This window comes from Homo sapiens, chromosome 11, assembly GCF_000001405.40.
Source record: "Homo sapiens chromosome 11, GRCh38.p14 Primary Assembly".
In the NCBI taxonomy this organism is placed as follows: domain Eukaryota; kingdom Metazoa; phylum Chordata; class Mammalia; order Primates; family Hominidae; genus Homo; species Homo sapiens.
In genome coordinates, this window is record NC_000011.10 from 85,943,593 (window position 1) to 85,955,396 (window position 11,804).

Genomic DNA, 11,804 nt, shown 5'->3' on the forward strand with positions numbered 1-11,804 from the left:
ACCAAGAAGGAGACACCTATGGTAATCTGCCCCAGTAGCTGGGCAGTTTACTGAGGCCTGACCTTGTGGTTAACTACCTGGAAGTTACACGATTGGCTAGTTGGTCACTGGCCCATTTGGGGCCAGGCCATGTGGCAAGACCTATGGAAAGAAGGATGACCTCCTCTGACCAGGTATGGGGACCAACAGTAACCTGTGGTTGCCTGCCCTAATGCCCCTAAAGGCAGGGGAACAAAAAACCTGGCTTTGAACATGGACCCTTCAAGTCCCCCATTGCCAATGGTTGGCTATGGTAGCCCTCTGGGGGGAGGGCCTACAGTATGATTTACATGTCACTCCTTGGGTATTCAATATATGGCTTCCATGATTGACCGTTCGTAGGGGAATGCTCAGGGAAGGAACCCCCCTCCTTGTATTGTCTGTATGGCCTATTGTGAGCTCCCCAGTGACTTTGGCACAAATACAGGACACAAAGAAACCATGGGGAGCTGAGAAGCTGTGGTACCATTGCCCAGGGCAGAAGCCCTTGGCGGCTGCATTGTTATCCAGAGATAAAAGGTTGGCTTGTATTTTGCCTCAGAAGAGTGATTTACCTGTGTGTGCCTGCTTTGTCATTCTGACCATAAGTTGACATGCTCTAACAGCATTGTGGAATGGGCTATGCTGAGATGACCAATGTGTCCAGCTGTTGGATCTGCACCACCCTTCCCGTAGCAGCTGCAGATGACTTGCCCTGGCACATACATCCAGCTTCTGCAGAAAACCAGACATGGTTAGAGACTTGGGGTCCCATGGCCAATGTTTGTAACATGACACAGCAAGCTTTGGCTAGGGAGTGCTATAAGACCCATGGCATTCCCACCCCCTGGCTGACCTGTAGCATCTATGATGGATGGGGCTGGTTAGTGGGGGTTAGCCCCCACCACAGGTACCATGATGTATAGAGCAGCTTTGGGTAATGCCACCATGGGGTGGTTACCCGCCATAGCCTGCACAAATATAATATATGTCACCACACCAAAGGTGCGGCAGAATAGGCAGCTTCAGCAAGGTCAGGCCCTAGTAGACTTTGTGCCCCCCCTGGGAGTTTATGGGTCTATGGAGACACGGGATGGTTCTTTTTGCCAGTGAACTGTCTGGCTGCTGTACCTGGGGGTGGCCTTTTGTGCCTGCCACTGATATTCCCACATTGCCTAGACACCCACATAACTGGGAAGAGCTACGTTCCTGGTTTTTGGGAGTGCAAAACCAGGTGGCTCTACCCCTTAGTATTAGCCATCCCTAGAGCAGGTGTCATAACTGTAGAAATGCAGGTTGCAGCCCTTGCTGAGCACACTGCTCAAGCCTTGAATTACACCCAAGTTGCCCTCCTTCTGTTGACAGATGAGGTTGATCAAACCAGGAAGGTAGCACTGCAGAACCAGATGGCCCTAGACATATTAACTGCTCCCCAAGGTGGCACCTGTGCTCTTTTGGGAACACAATGTTGTATCTTCATCCCTGGCATCTTTTGGGAACACAAAGTTGTACCTTTATCCGTGACAATCAACAAAACATAACAGCAGCTTTGCAAGGAGTTTCCCAGGAAATCAAGGCAGTTGAAAGCCTTACTGATGACCCCCAACAAACATGGTGGGCATCCCTGGGCTCTGGCCTATGCTGGACTCTTAATAATTATGGGTAGCATAGTGAGAATATTAATAGTGAGTTGAGTGAGTTGTTGCTCTCTGTATTGCTGCTGTGGCCTCTGGGTCCAGGGTTCTGCCCTGTGGGCACATCTCCCCACTAGGAGAACTCCCTCAGCCTAGGGGGTGGAGTATAAGGAAAATGGCTATGCTTCAGTCAGGAGTAGGCCAAGGCAGACATCCAGTACAGCACGACACAGCAGGTTTGGAGTGCAGGCACAAAATCTTGTGCACTATGTAATCACACTTATGTAGTCATTTAATGTAACCTGTTTGTGTGAGCCCATATGTGGCTTTAAGCCACTGTTGTCTGTGAGAAATATAATGGCACTGCTGACTCTGTAGGAGAGGGGGAGAGAATAAAGCCATGTCCCAACTGCCTATGGTCCCTCGAGTGTTCTTTCAGCTACCCACCACCCATCCACCAGCTCCCCTCAGACCTCAGCTCAGGTTGGAACCTGACAGACTAAAAAAGTCTTGTTTGCTGCCAAGAAGATGTCAGAGTTGAGAAGGCATCATTTGGAAAGGGAAGGGGAAAGAATGTCTGTATTAGTTCATTTGCATTGTTATAAAGGGATACCTGAGGCTGGGTAATTTATTTTAAAAAAGAGGTTTCATTGGCTCACAGTTCTGCAGGCTCTACAGGAAGTGTGATGCAAGCATCTGCTCTAGGCAAGGGTTGCAGGAAGTTTACACTCATGGTGGAAGGTGAAGGGGGACAGGTTTATCACATGGCAAGAGCAGAAGTGAGAGACAGAAGGGAGATGTTCCAGACTGTCTTAAACAACCAGATCTCATGTGACCTGAGCAAGAACTCACTTATCACCAAGGGGATGGTGTTAAACCATTCATGAGGCATTTGCCCTCATGATCCAATCACCTCCCACCAGGCCCTACCTCCAACATTGGAGATTACATTTCAACATGAGATTTGGAGGAGACAAACATTCAAACCATATCAATGTGCTTTCCTTCCATTAGTATCATTTCTTGTGTTTGAGATTTGCAGAATAGCAGTATCTCTAAAATAAATCTGCAGTTTTCTCAACAACTCAAATTCCAAACAGCTTACAATGGTAGCTTTGTTAATGACTACATTGCAAAGCAACTCTCAATAAAGTTGTACCACTGTGAACTTCCTATGGGTGTCACTCATTCAACAAAGCATTTATGGAACCAGTCAGGCACTGTTTGTAAGGTTTTAGGGATGCAAAATCAAACTGCTTCTTTCCTCAAATAGCTCATGGTCCACTAAGAGAGCCTGAGCCATCATTGCTGCTTTCAGTCTTCAGCAATAACAAGGAGGGAAGGAAGCAAGGAAAGTGGGAGAAGACAGGAAAAGCTATTCTAGGTGTGGTGGGTGAGGCTACCATGTGTTTAGCTCACACTGTTTTTAGTACCTTTAGTAATAGGCTTGGAAAAAGCAATTTAAGTAAAAATGAGTTTAGGAGGATTTTTATGTAGGTTTCAGTTCTCAGAATAACAAAGTATTTGAGTTTTGCATGTTGTTATTCAAGATTTGAGGGGCAGGAACAAGGTGGTTGGAGCTTGAGCTTCAGGGTAGTAAGTTGCTTACTTTAGGCCAAAAATTAGCTAGGTTTGAAGAAATTAAGGAGGTGTAAAGAGACAGAGTATGGGAAAACACATTCTGTGGAGTCAGGCTGGCTGCCTTTGCATCTTGGGTGGTCACTTAACCTCTTTAAACCCTGGTTTCCTCAACTATACTTTACAAACCTAATTCCCATACTGCAGTATTATTTAAGGATTAGAAAGTGTGTAACCTACACATAGTAGACATGCAATATATGGCAGTTGAAAAAATTGACATATAACAGGAATCTCTAAAGATTCTCTGGAAGTAGCCAAAGAGTATGGTTGTCTTTGCAATGCATTCACGTAAAGGCACACAGAGCAGAGTCTGTGTCCAATCCGTCACATGGTGTCAGGTGCAAACCAGTATGATGACAGCCGGGCTCTACACACTTTAAGTTTTAATTTGTATAGATATATGATAGTTTTATATGCATATGGGGTAACTACATGCTTATTAATCCAAAGGCTCGCTCTGTCTTTTGCTGAGAGCAAATCAGTCACCGCCCTGGTATAGGGGCATGGTCTTCATCCAGTAGGCTCCAAGGGCCCATCCTGAATCTGCTGATCTACTTGAGGCTGTAGGGACAAGTAGTAAACCTAGTTCCAAAATTCTTATGTGTAGCAGGAGGTGGGGTACAGGCATTTTTGTCTCTTCTCAAGCCATGTAGTCAGACACTAGAACCATTCAGGGAACAGAGAGGCTAGGTTAGTTTTATGGCAACAAAGGGCTGTTTGTTAAAGGACTGATTTCCTTGCTTGTTTTACTAGATGCCAACACAACAGTTCTCTGTATTTTTCTTGGAATAAACTGGCTTTTGTAACAGACACAAGGAAATGCACCCTCGAACAACTGAGGCTTTCTAAATATTAGTGACTTTAACTTGATTAAGTATTTCCATTTCCTATTCCTATGACTTTGTGAGGCTCATGTTCCCAGAAAGCCTTTTTTTTTTTTTTTGTATCGTGACTCTTTAGGTTGGTTATGTTTTAGGTCATTCTGTTCTTATGATCTGAGTAAGTGCTAAAAGCCTTTAAGATACTTTTAAAGAATCTTTAAATAGAAATGTTTTCAGATTTCCAGCACAACAAATGAGTCTTAAAGTAACTGCAGATTCAGATATCCTCACAGATTCTTAGCATAAGGTTTTGTCAGCATTTCCTTCCTCAAGTCCTGTGTCAACTCGCTGACCTCTTGCCTTCTTGGGTTACTGCCATCTTTTTGTATAAAAATATGCTAGCCCTTGCAACATTTTCCTCCTAAGAAGAATGAAAATTAACCACGTGGGATTCCCCTCTCTATGACTACTCTGAATGAGGCCAGCGAGTCACTTTTACCTCAAAGTCCTCAGACACCAAATCAGAGGGATGGTGTACCCTGACCTCCCTTGAGGTTCTAGCACAAGTGTGTAATTAACCTTAGAGCTTTAATGTTCTTCGTTACATCTCATTTTTACATCAGTCATTTTCGCCTAGCCACTTAAAAAGTGTCTTTTTTTACTTTTATGCTATTTATATGGAAATGTCAACGTGAGATATAGCTGGACCTAAAATCTGGTGAGAATGTACATATTTTCAACATGTCTTGTAACATTTACTCAGCACTAGCAGCTTGGATCTGCTTAGTTTTCATTTTTTTAAGCTTTTGATGTTTTTTGTATTTGTTTTCATTGACACATTTCAATTCTAAAACATTATTTTAAAAGATTTCTCAGATCTCAACTTGCAGTATGTGTCATGGGTTTTGAAGTCACAGATCAGAAAAAGCTTCATGAAATTAATTCTTCTAATAAAAATTGTAGGACTGTGGCACTGGTTGCTATTTTGTCTTTAAATATATTCTCCCTATTAGCAATAGTACAAAATATAAGTGAAAAAAATAAACTACTCTCCCCCTTCTTCTATAATCATCTATTTAGCTGTTTTAGTTGGTACACGGTCACTCAAATTAAATACATTTTTTTAGTCTTTAGGCTTTTTTTTAAATAGCCATATGACAAAGTTCTGGCCAATGGAATGTGAACAGAAGTGCAAGAAGTGTGCACAATTTCTGGGTCATCTCTTCTCCTGTCCCCACCCACCTGAATCCTGCTGCTTGGAATGTGGTTATGCTGCTTAGCCGTATTGGATTGTGCACCTGAGAGTAATACCTTAAGGACTGTGCGACACCAAGACACCTAGACCTAAAAGTGGACACTTAACAATCTTGTGGGGCAGAGTAGGCACACATACCAAGTCACACTTCCATGTGTGAGGGAAAAGAAACTATCTTGTTTGAATCATTGTTAGTTTAAGTTTACTGTTATACACAACCAAAACCAATCCTCATACAGAGACTGAATATTTCCCTTATGAGAAGTCAATGGTTTCAATAGTAAAATATTGTCTCTGCCAGGTGTGGTGGCTCATGCCTGTAATCCTAGCACTTTGGGAGGCCATGGTGGGAAGATTGCTTGAGCTCAGGAGTTCGAGACCAGCCTGGGCGATATAGTGAGACCTCCCCTCTACAAAAAGTTAAAAAATTAGCTGGGTGTGGTGGCATACACCTGTAGTCCCAGCTACTTGGGGGCTGAGGTGGGAGAATTGCTTCAGCCTAGAAGTTCAAGGCTGCAGTGAGCCATGATCTTGCCACTGCACTCTGGTCTGGGTGACAGAGCCAGACCTTGTCTCAAAAAAAAAAAAAAAAGAAAAAGAAAAAGAAAAGAAAAGTAGTCTCTAGTCTCTAGGACATTAAATAGGGCTGGGTAAGCAATTTATTCTGTTAAATTTTTTTTTTACAAATTGACATTTTGGGCTGGATGATACGAAGAAAAAATGTTTTAAAAAGGGCTCAAAGTACATTAGAAAGTATTCTACTTAGAAAATATCTATGGGCATCTAAACTGTTGCCCTAAGTATACTTATGTGTGGGGTTGGCTGTTTTCAAAAATGTGTTCTGTCACACCAAACTATAATATTACTGAAGTTGCCCCAGGACCAAGAACTCCTGCTTGTCGTGAGGACATGTGGAGTCAGGGGTTCAAAGTTCTGCTTTGAAAACCACTCATGGGATCTCCACAGGCATTGGGCTTTGGTCAGCTATGTAAAAAGGCAGAATTGGCAATGTCAACAATTTAGTAATACAAACAATAGCAAACACTTAAATGTGCTTATTATATGCACTTTACACATACTGATCCTATCTATTATAACCCTATGAGGTAGGGTCTATAATTACACCCATTTTACAGATGAAAAAACAGGCAGAGGGAAATTCAGTAACTTTTTAAAGTTCTCCAGGTAGTAAAGGAGCAGAGCCAGGATTTGAACACAGGTAATTTGGATCCAGAATCTAGGCTCTTGACTACAAGCTGTTCTGCATCCCAGTGAGAATAACAGTAATTACATATCACATCTTTATCATGTTCTGAGTGTATCTTTTAAATTCATTAAATACAAGTCAGGCATGGTGGCACAGGCCTGTAATCCCAGCACTTTGGGAGGTTGAGGTGGGCGGATCACTTGAGGTCAGGAGTTCACGACCAGGCTGGCCAACATGGCGAAACCTCATCTCTACTAAATACAAAAATTAGCCAGATGTGGTGGCTCACACCTGTAATCCCAGCTACTCGGGAGGCTGAGGCACAAGAATCTCTTTAACCTGGGAGGCAGAGGTTGCAGTGAGCGGAGATGGCGCTACTGCACTCCAGCCTGGGCAACAGAGTGAGACCCTGTCTCAAAAAAAATAAATAAAAATTTAAAAAATTCATTATATACAACAGTCTTATGAGGTAGGCACTATTATGATAATTTTACAGATGAAGAAACTGAGACAAAGGGAGAGTATGTAACTTGCTCAAACTGGGGTTTAAACACACAGCATGGCAGAGTTTACACCATTACTGCTATGCTGTACTCTCTCATCAAGCAGTAGTTGCTTCCCTCAGTGATGGTGATACTCTCCAAGGAAGGGATTTCTGCAAATGGTCCTCTGCGTATTTCCATATTCCAGGCTCTTCATCTGCCTTTCTTCCATCTCCTACCCCATAACATTTCCAGTCCTAACCACTCAGCATTTCCCTTTCTCCCGCTGATTTTGCAACCTATCTGATTGTCTCTCACCTAGCTATCTCCTCTAGCTCACTACAGCTTTCAGGGGCTAAGTTTTGCTCATGTTGGAAGACTGTTATAATAGTCTCCCTATAGTTCCTTCATAATACAGCAGCCAGAGCGAGCCTTTTAGCAACAAAAGTTTTTAAAGAATCCTCTGGTCAACATTTTCGGTGGCTTCCCCACTGAGAAAGAAATCCAAGCCTCAGCATGGCCTAGCCTAGGCCCACTGCCACCCCTGACCTCAGCTCCAACCTGCTCGCTTTGTTCAAACCTTGCTGGCGACAGTGCTGTTTCTGACTAGGGAAACAGGGCCTTTGTTCTGCCCTCTGCCCCCATATGTGGGGAGGAGAGCCACTCTCCAAATCTTACCATCCTGCTTCCTTACTTAGTATCTCTGTTCAAAGATGACTTCAAGGTCTTCCTTGACCCTATCCCAAACAGCACCACACTCTGCTCACATCACTCTCTCTACTATTTTTTTCTCACAACACTCATCATCATTTGTCATAAAATATTTGCTAATTGCCTACTCTCACAAGAAAATAAGCTCAATGAAAGAAGAATCTATGTTTTGTTTATTGATTCTTGCACCTAGAACTACTGGCACATTGAAGGCACTCAGTGTATTGAATGGATGAACGAAGAACTCAATCTGCTTTCTAAAAATCTTCCTTGGTCAGTCTTTTGCTTAGTATCTCTTTTAGTTCATAGCTTTTTGATATCTCTGCATTTTCTCAATGCCATGTGATCTGCCTTCTGTCCCTGACAATTCCCAGGTATATCTAGGGGTAAGGTTCAAGTTCCTAATTGCTAGAACCAATGGGCAGGTTTTGGTCTTTATTTTACTTGTGTTGGCCATTCCCTACTTCTTCAGTTATATCCTTGACATAATTATCTTTCCTGGTTCTCCGCCTCCAGCTTTGATTGTTCTTTCCTGGCCTTCACCCCTTAATAAGGGTGTGTTCCCTGGGACTCATCCTTGGCCCTTACTCTGGCACACAGTGGTTCCTTTGGTAATCTCAACCGCTGTCATAGGTACTTTTTTTTTCTTTATTTTATTATTATTATACTTGAAGTTTTAGGGTACATGTGCACAATGTGCAGGTTTGTTACATATGTATACATGTGCCATGTTGGTGTGCTGCACCCATTAACTCGTCATTTAGCATTAGGTAGATCTCCTAATGCTATCCCTCCCCGCTCCCCCCACCTCATGACAGTCCCCAGAGTGTGATGTTCCCCTTCCTGTGTCCATGTGCTCTCATTGTTCAATTCCCACCTATGAGTGAGAACATGTGGTGTTTGTTTTTTTGTCCTTGCGATAGTTTGCTGAGAATGATGGTTTCCAGTTTCATCCACGTCCCTACAAAGGACATGAACTCTTCATTTTTTATGGCTGCATAGTATTCCATGGTGTATTACGTGCCACATTTTCTTAATCCAGTCTATTGTTGTTGGGCATTTGGGTTGGTTCCAAGTCTTTGCTATTGTGAATATTGCCGCAATAAACATACGTGTGCATGTGTCTTTATAGCAGCATGATTTATAATCCTTTGGGTATATACCCAGTAATGGGATGGCTGGGTCAAATGGTATTTCTAGTTCTAGATCCCTGAGGAATCGCCACACTGACTTCCACAATGGTTGAATTAGTTTACGGTCCCACCAACAGTGTAAAAGTGTTCCTATTTCTCCACATCCTCTCCAGCACCTGTTGTTTCCTGACTTTTTAATGATAGCCATTCTAACTGGTGTGAGATGGTATCTCATTGTGGTTTTGATTTGCATTTCTCTGATGGCCAGTGATGATGAGCATTTTTTCATGTGTTTTTTGGCTGCATAAATGTCTTCTTTTGAGAAGTGTCTGTTCATATCCTTCGCCCACTTTTTGATGGGGTTGTTTTTTTCTTGTAAATTTGTTTGAGTTCATTGTAGATTCTGGATATTAGCCCTTTGTCAGATGAGTAGGTTGCGAAAATTTTCTCCCATTTTGTAGGTTGCCTGTTCACTCTCATGGTAATTTCTTTTGCTGTGCAGAAGCTCTTTAGTTTAATTAGATCCCATTTGTCAATTTTGGCTTTTGTTGCCATTTCTTTTGGTGTTTTAGATATGAAGTCCTTGCCCATGCCCATGTCCTGAATGGTATTGCCTAGGTTTTCTTCTAGGGTTTTTATGGTTTTAGGTCTAACATGTAAGTCTTTAATCCATCTTGAATTAATTTTTGTATAAGGTGTAAGGAAGGGATCCAGTTTCAGCTCTTTTAATACTTCTGGACTTCTTTAAATGTCTAGAAGTGGAATTACTGAGCAAAGGAGACAAACATTTTTATGACTTTCTGGAAGGGCTGGCCAATTTACAGTGCTCCTAAAAATGATCAGAGTTGCTCACTTTCCATCCCAATAATTACAGACTTTGAACAGGCAAATAGGTAAAAACAAAGGCACAGAGAATTCCAGAGTTTCAATTAAGAGGCAGGGAAGAGACAGTTAGCCTGAGCAGAAGCTTCAAGAGTGGAGGTATGAGAAAGGCTGCAATGGTTGTAGGCCTTGAATATTTGATAAGCAGTGAGCCACCCAAACACACTGAAGGATTCCAGCTGTTAAAGCACAGGATTCAAGGGAAGGGGCTGGAGCCAACCAGAAACATGAACACCCACCACGTGATGGATCACTCCTGCCCTTCTCAGGAAGCTACATTTGGGCAGAAAATTATCAAGAATGAGAACTTTGTGAATCATGTATGCTAAGTGTTGCAATCAATAAACTGCCTGGTAAATGAAACTAAAAATGCCTGATGGGTCCTGTGGTTTCCCATAACACAAGACAAGAGGCCTGGGAAGTCCTGCTTACTTCCCAAGTTTCCTATAAGACAGTAAAATAAACATTGATGAATGGAAAGCACGCTTCTCTATTGGGTGACTGATAAATATTGTTCTCCTAAGCCCATTGGACCAGTATTCCTCCTGTCTGCACCAAAGACCAGCCTTCCCCCAAAAAGAAAATCCATCTTTTTCCCTTGGGTTGGCCTGAGTATCAGCAGAGCCAGCTATCAGGTAGTGTAGACTGGGCTCTAACCTGGGATGATAGCAATAAAAATCTGCACTGAATGTCTATTTGTGACCTGTGAGACCAAGGCTCTTTTGTGCTGCAGGTTTGGTCTCAAGGGGTGATACATCCCATTAATCTGACCTCTTATTCTTAAGTATGAATTCCTGTTTGTAAACAGGCCTGCTCTCTACTTTGTCTTTGGCTATGAGTAAAAGCTTCCTGAAGCCTCACCAGAAGCCAGTGCCATGCAGCCTGCCATGAGCCAATTAAACCTCTTTTCTTTGTAAATTACCTAACCTCAGGTATTTATAGCAACCCCAAGAACAGACTAACACTACTACCCTTCTTAGGACAAAAATGATCAGAGATGCAGATTTAATATTTTGTGCCTTACACAGGCACTAAGCTAGCTGGCAGTGCCAGTGTGGTGTGCTTAATGCTTCCATGTAGTGTTCTTAAAAGTTTAAAGAAATCTGACTTCCTAGATAGCCTAAGTGGTGGGCAGTGGGGGGCTACTTGATATTTCCTTCCCTAGGGTCCCAGTCAGAGGCACGGTAACTCAATACTTGTTTATCCAGAGGACAGGACAGCTGCCAAGGGACCAAGGCTCAAGGAAGACAGACAGGGTACCTAATTGGGGAAGGCTCCGACAGAGCAAGGTTTAGCTCACAAGGTCAATCACACACAATTTTTATTTCAAAACCAACTTTAGGCTGGGTGTGGTGGCTCACGCCTGTAATCTCAGCACTTTGGGAGATGGAGGCGGGATCACTCAAGGTCAGGAGTTTGAGCCAGCCTGGCCAACATAGTGAAATCCCATCTCTATTAAAATACAAAAATTAGCCAGGCATGGTGGCAGGCACATGAGGCAGGAGAATCGCTTGAACCTGGGAGGTGGAGGTTGCAGTGAGCCAAAATCACGCCACTGCACTACAGCCTGAGCAACAGAGTGAGACTCCACCTCAAAACAAAAACAAAACAAAACTTTAATTTTTTTTTTTTTTGAAGCAGGGTCTCACCTCACTCTGTTGCCCAGGCTGGAGTGCAATGGTGTGACCTCGGCTCACAGCAGCCTCAACCATACCGGGTTCAAGTGATCCTCCCATCTCAGCCTTTGGAGTGGCTGGGACTTAATTTTTTTTTTTTTTTTCACTGTTGTAGAGACGGGGTTTCACCATGTTGGCCAGGCTGGTCTCAAGCTCCTGGGCTCAAGTGATCCGCCCACTTTGTCCTCCCAAAGTGTTGGGATTACAGACATGAGCCACTGCACTGGCCTAAAATTAGCTTTTTTATTAGATAAAAAGCTATTTTGAACCAGGGCTTATCAGAAAACAAAACTTTTTCTAACCTCACCTTTCTCTCCTAGTTGTCTGCCTAAAATCAGTTTAAT

The 11,804-nt window shown here is 42.9% G+C and overlaps 2 annotated features.

Moving 5' to 3' along the window:
* Positions 4,454-4,503: an enhancer, noted in NCBI's record as "active region_5371". NCBI's record gives its function as "activates an Ori minimal core promoter by ATAC-STARR-seq in GM12878 lymphoblastoid cells {active_cell/tissue: GM12878}" and the evidence as "EXISTENCE:reporter gene assay evidence [ECO:0000049][PMID:35858748]".
* Positions 11,101-11,601: an enhancer, noted in NCBI's record as "H3K27ac hESC enhancer chr11:85665736-85666236 (GRCh37/hg19 assembly coordinates)". NCBI's record gives its function as "activates a minimal SCP1, AML or CMV promoter by ChIP-STARR-seq in primed H9 embryonic stem cells {active_cell/tissue: H9 hESC(primed)}" and the evidence as "EXISTENCE:reporter gene assay evidence [ECO:0000049][PMID:30033119]".